This window comes from Homo sapiens, chromosome 14 (assembly GCF_000001405.40).
Source record: "Homo sapiens chromosome 14, GRCh38.p14 Primary Assembly".
In the NCBI taxonomy this organism is placed as follows: domain Eukaryota; kingdom Metazoa; phylum Chordata; class Mammalia; order Primates; family Hominidae; genus Homo; species Homo sapiens.
In genome coordinates, this window is record NC_000014.9 from 88,697,346 (window position 1) to 88,713,449 (window position 16,104).

Sequence of the window (16,104 nt, forward strand, 5' to 3'; positions counted from 1 at the left end):
CTTAATGAACATGAAAAGGCTGTGCAGAATGAGTCCATAGAAGAGAAGGTACTGGAGGTGGGCCTTCAGAAAGCACAGAACTTGAATATAAAGAATTCTAGACTAAAATAATGGGGTAAACAAATATTCAGAGGGGGTTAAAGTACCAAGCATGTCTATAGACCTGAAAAGGCAAATCTACTGCAGCACTCTGTCACTTATTTTTTAACTTGGTTTATGATGTTCACTAATGCACAGGTAAACTATCAATTCTTAATTATTCCTCTAGACTCAAGTAATCACTTTCTTTAACCATAAGCATAAAGAGATATAATATCTTTGTATATAGAGACAACTCCTGAAATAATTAATAGAGCTGTCAATTATAGTTAATTTTGAGACTGATTTATTTATTTTTTATTTTTTTTGAGATGGAGTTTCACTCTTGTTGCCCAGGCTGGAGTGCAATGGCGCTATCTCGGCTCACCGCAACCTCCACCTCCTGGGTTCAGGTGATTCTCTTACCTCAGCCTCCCAAGTAGCTGGGATTACAGGCATGTGCCACCACACCCAGCTAATTTTTTGTATTTTTAGTAGACACAGGGTTTCTCCATGTTGGTCAGGCTGGTCTCAAACTCCCGACCTCAGGTGATCTGCCTGCCTCGGCCTCCCAAAGTGCTGGGATTACAGGTGTGAGCTACCGCACCTGGCCGAGATTGATTTTATAAAAAGATATAACAAATAACACTGCAATCAGCCAATATTTCACTAAGTTATTCAGCCAAACATTACCAGTAACTTTTTAGAAAATTTTTAACATTTTTTGTGGGTACACAGTAGTACCAGTAACTTTTAAGTTTTCTTTTTATATAAAAACTTCTACAGAATTTGATGCTTTTGATGATTTTACTGTACTACTCTCTTCTGGTTCTCCAGTTTCCTTTTTTTTTTTTTTTTTTGAGACAAGGTTTCACTCCTGTTGCCCTGCTGAAGTGAAATGGCATGATGTTGGCTCACTGCGACCTCCGCCTCCCAGGCTCAAGTGATCCTCCTTGTCTCAACTTCCCAAGTAGCTGGGACTACAGGCATGCACCACCATGCCCGGCTAATTTTTGTATTTTTTGTAAAGATGGGGTTTCACTACGTGTCCAGGCTGGTCTTGAACTCCTGGGCTCAAGTGATCTGCCGCCTCAGTTTTCGAAAGTGCTAGGATTACAGGCATGAGCCACGGCGCCCAGCTTCCTTGACTCCTACTACTGAGTTTCCTTCTCAATTTCCTCACCTGTTACTTAAATACAAACCTCTCCCAAGGTGGTCTTTAATTCTCCAGTCTTCTCATTCTTCATTTTTGCCCTGAGGTATCTCACTTCTATAGTTTCAGTGGTTAAATCAATAAATACCTCCCAAGTCCTTCTCTCGAGCAGTTACTTTTCCTCTGAATCCAAGACTTACATTTTCAATTGTCTACTGGACATCTCACCTGGAAATTATGATGATGACTAACACTCACTGAGAAGTAATTTATGTGCCAGAAACTGTTCTAAGCACCTTACGAACATTGACTCATGTACCAATCACAACAACTCTACGAGATGGGAACAGATAACATCCTTATTTTAAAGGATGAAGAAACGAAGGTAAAGAGAGGTTAGGTAATTTGCCAGTAGCGAATAAGTGGAAAGGCTTGGATTTCAATATCACATTCCATGAGGTATAGACAGTATTTAGTATAATATTGAGTACTATTAAAGTACACTTAGGGCATCTCACTCAGGGATGAAGGGGAGAAGGGAGAGGTTGGGAGAGTTCTCAGATAGGCTTAGCCTAAGTCTTAAAAGGAGCAGAAATTAGATAAAGTTGGAAGGTTGAATAGAAGTGGAGGGGAAGAGTTTTCCAAGACGAAGGAACTAAGTAAAAGATGTGAAATAGCATTATACGTGTTGGACAAATTCTATCTATCTCAGAAGGCAAAAAAATAGTTTACAAAGAGGCAAATAGAAAGAGATAAAAAGGGGAGTTGGAGAGTCAGACTTGGTTAAATGCCTTGAATTGCATTGGGAGTCAACTTCCAACTCTGCATTAATGTTATGCCTTGAATTGCATTTAACCAAGTCTGACTCTCCAACCTCCCCTTTTTATCTCTTATCATTTATAGCTTGTGGCTATTTAGACAGCTGTTTAGACAGCCTACAGGCTATTAACACTAATAAATATGAAAGAATTTTAAGACTTTTAGAAAGATTACTAGTGAATGGGAAAAATGGATAGAGGAAAAAAGCAGAAGACCAATGGCTATAGTAATGTTTTAGAAATTGTGAAGCATTGATTGTCAGTAGAGATATGGAAAAATTAAAGATGAAAAGAATATTGAAGATAAAGAATAAATATATATTCAGGTGAAAGAATGGGTGCTACTTGAGGACTGACTAGCTTTAGGGGTGAAGAACAAGATTAACTTCCAGGCTTAGGCAACCAAGTTAATACACTGCTATGTTCTAAGAAGGAAACACGAAACGATGAACAGGTTTGGAAGGGAAGATTAATCCTATTTATCTCCATTTTAGATATGTTGAATCTGAGTTGCCCACAAGACATCTAAATCAGTGTATTTTTAGTGAATTATATCTATATATACACACACACATATATACACACACACATACATATACACACAGAATAATTTGTCCAATTCTTATACTACATTGTGAGCTCCCGATAGTGGCAGCCAGTCTGAGTTATCTCTGTGTTTCCCCACAACATTTAATGCTTTTGAATAGGAAGCACTCAACAAGTATTTGCTGAATTAAACAAAATTTCCAAATTATAGTACAATTAGTCATGTTATTCGACTTTCCAGGTAAGTTTCTTTCACATTCTTTCATTTCCACTTAAGATCACAGTTACTGACAAGAGGTTATTCTTTGTATTTAATTCTCCAAAAGACAAAACTCTCTAGATTTTTCATCTAAATTTCTTTTTTTTTAAATTGTTTTATTTGGGAAAAGTGCTTCTTACAAAAGGGAAGCTGCAAAATACAGAGACCTCTGCAACAATTATTTGTTTTTTTTTCTTAAAGTGAAAGAATGGGTGGGATCCAAGGAATCAAAACAGTAGATGGACAAACCAGGAGCATCCCTGAGTTATTTTCAGGAAACAAAGCATCAAAACACAAAGGAAAAATTTCCAATCAAGGAATTCTTCCAACGACTTAACTTTATCTAGTCTCAGGGATTCCCAAGCCCTCCCCTTCAGTGGAAAAGCATGACTTATTACTGCAAACCCATTACTCCACTACAACAAGCACCTTAGAACAGAGTTTTTAATCACATCTGTCTACCTGAAAACTCAGAGGTGGAATGAGGCAAATACCCACAAAAACAAACACAAAAACCTGACAACAAAATGTCCCAAATGAGGACAAACGTTTCTCAGAAAGTGCCTGTACCGGAAAGGTTAGATCGTAAACCATTAAATACAACTGTGCATCCAAGACCCAGTTTGTGTTAATATATAGGATAACCAGGTAGTTTTAACCTCTACCTACCCTCCTGATTAGTTCCTCAACTAATGTCCATAATGCATTCTAAGATTTGAACACTGTGAGTTACTCATAGTTCTTTAAATAAGCTGGGTTTTTTTTTGCCCTACTTTTACAGATGCTGTAATACACTTAGAATGCTTTCCCCCAACTTCCCCTCTGCCAGGTAAACAACTCAGCTCAAATGTCATCATCTCTATGAGGGTTTCTTCGATTCTACTGGGCAAAATTAATCATTAGTTCTTCATTACATTGCTACCAGGCTTTGTACATATTTCTACATTTAAAAACAGGGTGATTTTGCCTTCCAAGGGACATCTGGGTACTGTCTGGAGACATTTTAGGTTGCCACAACTCAGGGAAGTGGGTGTTCCTGGCTTCTAATGGGTTGAGACCAGGGATGCTGCTAAATATCCTACAATGCATAGGTCAGCCTCCCACAACAAATAATTACCTGCCCCGAAACATCAATAGTGCTAAGGTATTGTCATAAATATAGATCAGAGAAGCTTCTCTGCTCTATACTTAGGACACTGTATCACAACTCAGAATGTGAGTTTTCACCATGACAAGAAGTTGTCTTATTTATCTTTATATTCCTAGCACATTTCTTGGTACATAGAATGTGCTTGATGAATGTTTTTGAGTGAATGAAAGAAAGGAAGAAGGAGAGGGAAAGGAAGGAGAGAAAGAGCAAGTAAGGAGAGGCACAAAGAAAGGAAGAAAAAGGAAGAAGAATGGGAGAAAGAAAAAAGGGAGGAGTTTTCTCTCCTTTCAGGAAAGCTATATAGGAGGATGCAAGTTGATCCCTTTTCCACATATCCTAGCTAGAAGGTATATTTACACAGTGTTTAAAGCCAGACAGACTGAAGGCTTTAGGCTTTACTACCTATTAACTGATTGATCTTAAGCAAATTATTTAATTTCTCCAAACCTAAACCTCATCATTTGTAGACTGAAGGAAATAATTTTACTCTCACATGGTTGAGGTGAGAATAAAATAAATATACATTAATAAACTAGTAAAGTACTTACACAAAGGAAGAATCTATAAACATCATTTCTTCCCTTCCTTCTCTAAGAATATCCATATAGAGAGGTATCAGTTAAGATTTTCTCAGGGTTTTTTATTTCAATATTTGTGCTTTCTACTTTGGTAAACCTGAATAGATTACTATCATGGTTGTAAAATAAAGAGACATAGTCCTTTGGTTTGTCACAGGACATTTGTTAAATAATTTACATTTGTTTTAGGTAACTCAACCTAAAGACACCAGATTTCTAGTCTTTATGTTTTCTCTAATTTTACTAATTTAAAAAATTAATATCATGACAGAAATAAAACAAGCCAGAGCTATGAGTTCCAAATTTAAATTAAAATAATATGAATTAAAATAATAAAAACTCTAAAACTGTAGGAAAAAAGTTTGGGGTAAATTTTATTTATAATCTGAAAATAAAACTCATTCTAAAGAATTCTTTACTCTTCATATCCTAGAACATAAAAGAGATATGTGATTAATTTATTTAAACTCAAACAAAGGTGTAGCTTATCTGGCTTATTGTCAGTCTTTCAAACCTACCTGGCCTGTTGCCACGTAGTCTTTCAAAGGATGAATAGTTAGGCAGAGAATATCATCATCATGACCCAGATAAAAACGCTGTGTGTTTTGCTGTCGATTATAAATGACACCCACTGCTGCCACATGGTACACAATTTCACCAATTTGAGTATAAAACAGATTACTTCGACAGTCATAACCTCTGTAACTAATATAGAAAACAAATCATATATAATTAATTTTGGCCTTTTATCTGATCAATACAGAATATACAGGGGAGAAGTAGGTACCCTTTGGGTGAATCATTCAATTTCCAGTTTTACAGGATACTAAACAATTTTTTTTCAAGAGATGGGGTCTCGCTCTGTCACTCAGGCTGAAGTGCAGTGGTGTGACTGCAGTTCCCTGCAATTTTGACCACCTAGGCTCAAACGATCCTCCCACCTCAGCCCTCCAAGTAGCTGGGACTACTGCTGTGCGCCACCATGCCTGGCTAATTTTTGTATTTTTCATAGAGATGGGGTTTTGCCATGTTGCCCAGGCTGGTCTCAAACTCCGGAGCTCTACCCACCTTGGCCTCCCAAAGTGCTGGGATTACAGGTGTAAGCCACCATGCCCAGCCTGAACAATTAAAAAAATACCACCATCTCAGATCCAATAAACTTTTATGAACTGCTCGGACTGCAAATAGCTAAATCTAAGCTATAATACTGAGTGAAAAAAACAAGGTAGAAAATAGTATGTATAGTATACTACCATTTACATAAGTATAATATTAAAATTGTATACTATAAAACAAAAACAATTGCTTTTTATAAGTAAAAGGTATAGAAAAGTATATTTGTATTTGTTGTATAAGTATTTCTGAAACTAAGTAACAGTAACTATCTGCAGAGAGGGGAAATGATGGCTGGGAGGGCAGAGGTGGGAGAAAGATTTTCAAACTGTACCCTTTTATACACATTGTTGGACCATGAGAATACAACGTATATTCCAAAAATAAGTTTAAACTACAATTTTAAAATATTATCCTCATCCAAGACAAAGTAGTCAAATCTTAAAATGGTCAATATAAGTCTATTTATAGCAACCTTGGTTTGCACTTCAAAGAAACCCAATTCATAAAATACAACTGCATAGAAACTACTGCCATTTTAACACTAGAGAAAAAATACTTGTACTAATTAAATCCTTTTTCAAATTCTTGATAAGTATTATCAGTCAGGTAAGAAAACGAATGCTGGGTGAATGGTAGAAAAGAGTCAGATTGGAAAATCTGTTTCTGCCAAGCTGAAATGTGAGACCCGTATTGCCAGATGTTCTAAGAGAATCCAGAACCCGTATTTTGGTGAAATTAAAATATTTAGGCAAAAATGCTCATGCAAGAAGAAGTCACAATATCATTCCAAATTAGACATATTGAGGGGAGATGATTATCTCTTACATTTTACTTAATTGTTTAAAGAGGCCCATTTCCATACATATGAAACTTTCATAAGACAAATTTATTTTTTATTTAATAAACACTTACATAGTGCTTATTATGTGCCACATAATGTTGTAAGTCACCACTAGCATTGCCTTATTCACTCCTCATCAGAACCTTGTAAGGTAGGTACTTGATATGATTCGGATATTTGTGCTGTCCAAATCCCATGCTGAAATGTGATCCCCAGTGTGGGATATTAGGCCTGGTGGGAAGTGTTTGGGTCATGGGGGCTGATCCCTCATGAATGGCTTGGTGCCATCCCCTTGGTGATGAGTGAGTTCTCTCTTGATTAGTTCATACAAGATCTGATTGCTTAAAGAGTCCAGAAACCCCCTTCCCTTTCGATCCCTTTTTCCTTGCTCTCTCTCTTGCTAGGTAACACACCTGCTCCCCCTTTGCCTTCTGCCATGAGTAAAAGCTTCTTGAGGCTTCACCAGAAGCTGAGCAGATGCTGGTGCCCTGCTTGTACAGCCTGCAGAACACTGAGCCAAATAAACCTCTTTTCCTTATAAATTATCCAGCTTCAGGTATTCCTTTATAGCAATGTGAAATGGACTAACACAGTACTATTATCTCCATTTTACAGACAGAAAAAAAGAGACACAGAGAGGTTAAGTGACTTGTTTAAAGTCACAAAGCACACATATCATTAATATATTACACACAATGTAATGTATTACTCTAAGTCAAATATGCCCAGTTGTCCCAACAATGTCCTTTATAATCATCTTAAAAATCCAGATATTTTAAAAAATATCTTTCAATTTGGTTTTGTCTAATGTCTCCTCATGATTAGATTCAGGTGATGTGTTTTCCCCATGGGCAATGTTGTATCCTTTCGGATATGTCATTTCAGGGGATACAGTCAGTTCTATCATTAGAGATGTTAAGCTAGTAAGTGTGAACCAAAATTCAAACAAATAAATGAAAGATAGTTGTTTTATACCCGTGAACAAAGTGTAATCGAATACTATTTCCTGGAGCCCGCTCTCTTCTTTTAGAAGTAGCACTTTTTTGTTTCTCTTTGCACTGTTCTTTAAGCTGAGGTAGATCTTCTTTGTAAACCTTTAAAAATGTATACAAGTAGAAATATTCTTAGAATATATACTAATAAAGGTGTTCGTATACTCCCAATATAACTTTCAGACATTGTCTGAAAACAACAGCTTTAATAGTAGTCTTAAATGAAAAGTTAATTCATGAAATTTACTCCCTCGGAAAGAACAAACAAATTCACATTTTCTACATATCACACTGACAAATAGATACATAGTGTTCCAGGAAATTTTTATACTTCATAAAAGAATATTGTTAAAGGAATAAATGTGAGTATACTATGACAAAATCCTATAGGCAAATAGAAGGCAAGCATACTTAATATACCAAGCATTTAATATAAAAAAAATTTTACACAAGTGTACTCTAACACTGACAGTGGGAAAACTAATATAGTCATACATTGCTTGAGAAATTAAAGCCACAAAAGATAACAACAGATGACTAACGGGGAGCAAGATAAAGAAGAAATTAGACTTTTTAGAGAAAAACCATGTGATATGGAAAATTACCTGTCGACGGTAGGTGAGCTGTGTCTCTTGTTCAATTTCAGAATCCAGTTCTGGAACATCAGACAGATCTGAATCTGATTCATCACTATGAGAGTCAGCCAGACTTTCTGTAATTTTTAAAAATGAAATGTTACTTGTTTAAAGAAGATTCATTTTCAAAACAGCACTGAAAAATTAATGATTAAGAGCTATGTCAGTTGACATGGAGACAAGCCATAAAACAATCAAATGAAATTACCTATTCAAGTGACACAGATGTCAGTAAACTGTACTACAGATTATCTTCCTCTCCACTCACTGCAAACTCAATAGCTCCTTTAAATCCCTTCACTGGCTCCCCAATGACCGCTACATCAAATTTAAATGTCTGTGCAAATATAAGTGAATATAACCTATAATTAACATGAAAAATAGCTAAAAATACTATATGCAACAGATGAATTGACATTAGATAATTTTTGTCAATAAAAGCATTTACAAAATCTAGATACCCATCTCTCAGAGGATATATTAAATGTTTGTTTTGCTATTAATATAACTGTTTCTTCACTCATTATTTGATAGATTAAAACGCAATCAAAATTACTTTGTATTTCACACTCTGTGACATCTAACTTTAAACATATAGAACTAATATTTTAACTTGAAATTTCTACTAATAACAAACTACACTGTTAACTTATGAGGCCAGATTATACTTTAATATAAAATTGTTATTTGGGGGTTACTGAAGAATTATTTGACAGGGAAACTGTTTAGCTAATGCATACTACTCACCTTGGGGTGCTATGTGAACAGCATCTTTCAGTTTTCTTTCAGGAATAAATTTCCACTGAAAGACAGAGTGATCTGCTCCACCAATAGAAATAACCCACTGATAATCATGTGACCATCTGACATTAGTTACGTGAGCTGAATGGCCAATATATTTTCTAAACTTGGCCCCTATAATAAAAATATATCTTTAAATTGATAAACAAATGCTAAACAAAATACCATTTCAAACAATTTTTATATATGAACCACTGTATCATCCTTCTATCTGAATTATAAACAAATGGGAAAAATGCTGACTCAAAAATTGAACAAATGAATGAATCTGTATCAAGGAATGCAAATATCTCCTCTGCTGATTCACAAGGAACCACAAAGGCTGTGAGGCATTATCTTACCACTTTGAGAAAAACCTGGGGATCAACTGTTTTTATATTAAAACATTTGAATGTTTTGGCCTGAGGCCTTTGGGCTTAAGTGAAATTCAAAGGACTAATCAACTAGACCTTACCCCCATTATTCTCAACCCAAGCAGCCAGAGGATCCTTTTAAGACTTAAGTCATCAAGAAAATATTAGCAAAATGAATTCAGCAACATATAAAAAGGATTACACAACATAATCAAATGAGATTTATGCCAGGAATGCAAGTTTGGTTCGACATTAAAAAGTCAATCAATGTAATGCATCATATTAATCAAAGTCAAATATGCCCAGTTGTTCCAACAATGTCCTTTATAATCATTTTAAAAATCCAGATATTTAAAAAAAATCTTTCAATTTGGGTTTTGTCTAATGCCTCCTCATGATTAGATTCAGGTGATGTGTTTTGGGTAAGGGCAATGTTGTATCCTTTTGGATATGTCATTTCAGGGGATATGGTCAGTTCTATCATTAGAGATGTTAAGCTGCATCATTTGGCTATGGTGGTATACACCCAATTTCTCCAATAATAAAGGAATCATTTAACTTTGTGGTTAATTTTCTTAAAAATCTATGTGATAATAGGGATATATTTTATTTATTTATTTATTTATTTATTTATTTATTTATGGCAGAGACAGGGTCTTGCTATGTTGCCCAGGCTGGTCTCGAACTCCTGGGCTCAAGCAATCCTCCTGCCTTAGCCTCCCAAAGTGTCAGGATTACAGGCATGAGCCACCACATCTGACAGGAATATATTTTTAGAATATATTCTCTATCTCCTCCTCCTGGTATGTGGCATTATACAGATATTCTTATTAAAATACACAGGATACAATGATGCTTAGCTTCCTTTTGATATTGTTTTAAACACTTTATATTAAGTTATAGAAGACTTGTATATCAGGATGTCAAAGCCCCATCAACGAAATTCTGGAGAAAAACTTTCATCTTAGTCATTAATTTAAGATAACTATCATCATTAATGCATGAGATAGAATCAAAACTCATCTAAAGTTATAATTTACTGCTGCTTAATAGTAATACTGTTATTTTAGGAATAAATTTTTTATGTAGCTTAATATAAGTCACTAATTTAACTTCGCATAGTTCAGCCCAGCAAAGTCCTATGAGGTAAGGGCTCTTATATAGGAATGCATTACTTGCCTGTCAAGAGGGCTTTGGCTACTACTACTACCTTTGATGCAACCCTTAAGCACTCTTAGACATCAGAGAGTCTGAAAAGTTAAAGCCAGAAATTCTAACAAATAAAATTCCAAGTTCTAAGATCTACTAATTTGTTATGTTAGGACAATTAAAGAGTTATCTCAGCATCTGATCTGCCTATACCGAGTGATAGAGAGAGGTACAAATAATCCTGTAAGTCCCTTCCAAACTTTTCTTTGAGACTTCTCAAAGACCCTCTTGGATAAACCAAGGCAGCTAAACAAGAAAGTTGTAAAATAAGTCTAAGAGAAACCAGTATTTTTAGTCAATGGGACTGTATTAATTTTTTAATAACCAGTTTAATTTTTAATAACTTGTTCTGATAAATGGGTATCTTAAAAGTGAACCTAGATATCATATCTTTCATGAAATGACTTTGACTCACCAAGACCAAGTTACATGCTTCCAGAATTCTCTGTGATTACCCCTTGTGATTATATTTATATAACACTGAAATGTAATAGTCTATTTACTTGTTAACTCCTCCAATAAAACTATAAGCTCTTTAAAGACAGCAGTGGTGTCTTGTTTAATATATATCTCTGGTGCCTGGTATATAGCAAACACTCATTAGATATTTGAAGAAAGAGAAAAAGAAAGGAAAAGCAAAGATTATATTTCCTTTTGCTCTGCTTGGACTTTTGAGTTGGAATGCTAGACTGTAATGTAGGAAAGAGTAGTAAAGGAAACTGAGAGGGCATGAACATGATTCCAACCCCTATAATGCACAGAAGAGGGCAAAAGTTTGATGTGCCTTAAAGAATATTAGAATTGAAATCAAAAGACTAGTGCTTGAGCATCATTTAATAGCACGGAAGTCTGAGCATTCCACCAAACCTCTTTTGGACTCCATTTTCTCAGTTTTAAATGTAAATTGGATTATATGCTCACAAGGTACCTTTTGATTATGAAAACTATGATAAAAAATGATTCAGTAATAAGAATAGTTAAGGCCTAAACAGTGTATCATCAATTAGTACAAATATCTCAGAGAAAAAATTTATCAAGACAAACTATAATGATCATAGAAGCTTCCTAATTTAAAAGAGGATGAAAATTCTTGGTAAGGATAAAGAAATATACTAAAATATTTGTGTTTCAATGATTCCATTTCTTTTATAATGTGTTTTAATGTGTATTTTCACACAAGGGTAATATGATCTAAATATTTTCAATATATGGTATCAATATGACAAAAGATTTTTTTCCATTTAACTATGTTTTAATGATATTAAACTTCTAGATATGGGAATAATAAATATATGAAAATATCTTTCTGACCCTAGTAAAAGTAAGAATTTCTTAATATACAAAACTACACTACCTATAAGAAAAGAAAGAGAAATAGACTTGACTACACTGAAATTAAGAACTGGCCAAGAAAACACATCATTAAGAAAATAAAAAGGCAAGCCAAAAACTGGGAAAAGATATTTGCAAACTATAAAAATTACAAAGCATTTGTATTATTAGAGTATATAAAGTAATTCTTAAAGATCAATAAAAGAAATAACCCAACAGAAAATAGGAAAGAGATATGAACCCATGTTTGACAGAGGAGAAAACACAGAAGACCAAAACATATTTTAAAAGATGGTTAACCTCATTTGTAGTCAGACAAATGGAAATTAAGACCTCAATGTGACATCATTTACACCAACTGGGTTTGCAAAAGTTAGAAAGTATAGCAATATCAAGTGCTGAATCAATAGGCTTTGTAAAACTGGATAACCACTTTGGAAAATATTTAGGTATTTTCTTATAACGTTCACATTCTCCATGACCCAGAAATTTCACTCCTAGTTATTTCACTCCTTTGAGAAACCTGCATTTAATATCAAAAGATGGGAAATGACCCAAATGTCCAATGACAGGAGAATAAATGCATGAATTGCAGCATATACTTACAACACAATATTTTGCAGCAGTGAAAAAAAGGCATTAAAGCTACACGCAACAATATGGAAAACAGCACTGAATCAGTCCCCGTTATAAATTTTTCTTTGTTAGATATTTGGTTTTTCCTATGAATTTCCTGGAATCTAAATGATATTTTCTCCAAATATAAATTTTCATTTGTCAACAAGAAGTACAGAGGGGGTCTTGGCCATTATTAACAGTGATGGAGGTGATGGGCTAACGTAACTCTGCCCTCACCTCTCCATTCTCCCTGACCCTGACCTGCTCACTGTCCACCACAGCCCCTATGCTGCTGCCTAGGAAGAGTCCTGGATTCTTTCAGAGAGATTATGGTCAAGAGCAGGTGAAACTAGAGAAAAAGAGGATGATAATGAAGAAAAAAATATGAAGAGGGGTGGAATGCTTTGGGCTGAAATTAAAGTGCAGTATGTAGGGTATATGTGGTTCATATGATCATTCTCTCTTTGAGCTAACTTCGTATATTTTTTGTTTCAATTACAATGATTCTATAACATAAACTACTTCTATTATTTAAAGTCCACATTTTGTAAATGCTGCACTTCTAAGAAGTCACCTAATGAATATTACCTGAGTGGATATCTAAAATATATTAATACACCAGCTACATTTTTCTAAGTTGGACTAGCAATGCAACTTAATAATTAATCTAAAAGAAAGAGTATATTTCTAGTAATACTGCCAACTTCAAGGTATGTAATTATGTGAATTCAATTAATACATAATCTTTTTTGGCCTAAGTGGTCTGCAAAACATAAAATCTTAAAATACTTATATTAATCCATTAAAAATGCAGTAGTCGTATTCTGTCTTTCCCACTTACCTAGCTACAATCTCAAGCTGACTCACAAGTGCCTAGAAATAGAAATCATCCTTACTAGAAAATAAATTACTAACAAAAAAGCTAACAAATGGGAAACAAAAAAGAGAAGCAATTTATACTTATGTCCTTGAAGGAGTGAATAATCTCTTAGACAAGACTAATTTTCTTAGGCTTTGGTAAAATATTCACACAGCAGTTCAAAGAACTACTACACATTTTATAAATGAAATAAAATTATTGTGCAATAATATCGACTTCTCTCTTGCAAATGATAAAAATAATCAATAAATCCTATTCACTTGACTAAGAAAACTAAGAAGATTAAAGCATTTTTGTTTTTGCATAGAGGTCAGTATGTGAAACAGTAAGTAGGAGCAACGTCTAAGAGGAAGATCATCATGACTACTACTGAATCTCACACTTCATAACCAGGCAAGTATCATCTTAAAATTTGTTGTGCATGGTGACTCTCATGTCCTGGCTATGTGGTGGGACTCAGAAATAGGGTACTTTAATTGTTAGATATTTAGCCAGTCTTTTGATATGGTTTGGCTCTGTGTCCCCACCTAAATCTCATCTCGAATTGTAATCCTCATGTGTTGAAGGAGAGACCTGGTGGGAGGTGATCGAATCATGGGGGCAGTTTCCCCCATGCTGTTTTCGTGACAGTGAGTGAGTTCTCACGAGATCTGATGGTTTAAAAGTGTTCAGCAGTTCAGCATGGCTGGGGAGGCCTCAGGAAACTTACAATCATGGCAGAAGGTGAAGGGGAAGCAAGGCACCCTCTTCACAGGGTGGCATGAAGGAGAAGTCCATGAGATCACAGGAAAAACTACCATTTATAAAACCATTGGATCTCGTGAGAATTCACTCACTATCACAACAGCAGCATAGAGGAAACTGCCCCCATAATCCAATCACTTCTCACCAGGTTCCTCCCTTAACACCTGGAGATTACAATTCAAAATGAGATTTGGCTGGGGACACAAAGCTAAACCATATCAGACCCTGCTCATGCCTGTAATCCTAGTACTCTGGGAGGCTGACGTGGGGAGATCACCTGAGGTGAGGACTTTAAGACACAGCCTGGCCAACATGGTGAAACCCTGTCTCTACTAAAAATACAAAAATTAGCTGGGAATGGTGGCACATGCCTGTAATCCCAGTTACCTGGGAAGCTGAGGCAGGAGGGTTGATGGAACCCAAGAGGTGGAGGCTGCAGTGAGCAGAGATCACCACTGCACTCCAGCCTGGGCAACAGAGTGAGACCCTGTCTCAAAAAAAAAAAAAAAATACAACCATCATTGTACAGTCTGACTCTATGAAAGAATTCACGAAGTGAAAAGAAAAACGTTTCTTTGAAAAGAAAGAGATATAGTGCATTCATAACAACATATGAATTCAAAAAGAATTTTCTAATAAAACTTCATGACCAAAATAAATGCAGCATATGACAATAATTTTTGAATTAGAAAAATGAAACCCTTCACCAATCAGTGTAATTTTAAAAAATATGAAATCCTTTATCTCAAGACTAATTTTCTGCAAGAACACGAAAGTCTTCTGTGAGAGAGAGGTTACTTAATATTTTGAAAGAAAAGGTACCTTTTCTTAAACATGGATATCGGAATAATTTTATAATTCCATAGTCATCAGCTGTAACTAAAACTTGGCCAATATAATTTCCATCTACTGAATTTATATCGTTGATATCTGAATACTTGGGCCAAATTCCATTTACTTCAAGGCCTGAAACACATGTCCATGAAGCCCAATGAACACCTTTTATTTCTTCTGTACTTGTCACTTCCTTTCCTCCTAAAAATAAATCAGAGTCTTAATTTAAAAAGTTATTTCATTTGATTTTCTCAAGCCTAAACTGTACTGAGAACATAGTAAATTCCAAAATTTAATGTATCTTCCCACCCCACTTAGAGGAAAATACATAAATAGGTAGATAAGTTTGGGTTAAGAGAAAAGAAAACTAAATGCAAGAAATTTATAAAAAGCTACTACAGAAATTATACTGATTCAGAGACACACATTGCCTTGAATGATTAGCTTAGCAGGTTCAATTATGTGGAGAATAAAACTGAATCTTATTTAAAAAATGATACAGATTAGTCATAACAGGGTAAGTTATAAAAAAGGTAAAAGCTATGAGAAAGTGGCAAATCAGGTATTAAAAAAGAAGCCTAAGATACATAGTTGAGGAAAAAGAGAGAACTGGAAAAGACCAAGAAGAAAGGATGAGTGTAGGATAATATATTTACATTAGGTAAGAGGACTTTAGGACCCGGTCAGTCTTCATTACATATAGACTGTTAATGAAAAACTTTTGGGGAGATGCATTAATTGAATTATGCAGCTAATTTTATATAATAGGTTATTGGAAGATAGTGACTAATTCCCTAAGCGTCACAACAAATAAAGTACTATGCAGTGGCTGGGTGCAGTGGCTCACACCTGTAATCCCAGCACTTTGGGAGGCCGAGACAGGCAGATCACTGAAGGTCAGGAGTTCAAGACCAGCCTGGCCAATATGGTAAAACTCCATCTCTACTAAAAATACAAAAATTAGCTGGGCATGGTGGTGGGCACCTGTAATCTCAGCTACTCGGGAGGCTGAGGTAGGAGAATCACCTGAACCTGGGAGGCAGAGGCTGTAGTGAGCTAAGAACATGCCACTACACTCCAACCTGGGCAACAGAGCGAAACTCCGTCTCAAAAAAAAAAAATACTAATAGGTAATATTTTGATGATTCTGCTTTTATTCCATCCATT

The 16,104-nt window shown here is 35.2% G+C and overlaps 1 protein-coding gene across 26 annotated transcripts in view; it reads right to left on the bottom strand.

The window, feature by feature from the left end:
- Positions 1-16,104, bottom strand: part of EML5 (EMAP like 5) — a 180,523-nt gene that overhangs the window by 84,915 nt on the left and 79,504 nt on the right. For 24 of the 26 annotated variants that reach the window (XM_047431057.1, XM_017021065.3, XM_047431056.1 and 21 more), the window contains 5 exons: positions 14,926-15,138; positions 8,914-9,081; positions 8,137-8,243; positions 7,515-7,633; positions 5,101-5,287 (listed from right to left, as the gene is read on the bottom strand). In XM_047431057.1, coding sequence (XP_047287013.1) covers positions 5,101-5,287; positions 7,515-7,633; positions 8,137-8,243; positions 8,914-9,081; positions 14,926-15,138 — 794 coding nt within the window. Of the gene's footprint in view, positions 1-5,100; positions 5,288-7,514; positions 7,634-8,136; positions 8,244-8,374; positions 8,481-8,913; positions 9,082-14,925; positions 15,139-16,104 lie in introns of those variants that run through there. The other 2 variants (XM_017021066.3, XM_047431060.1) reach the window with 2 other exon arrangements.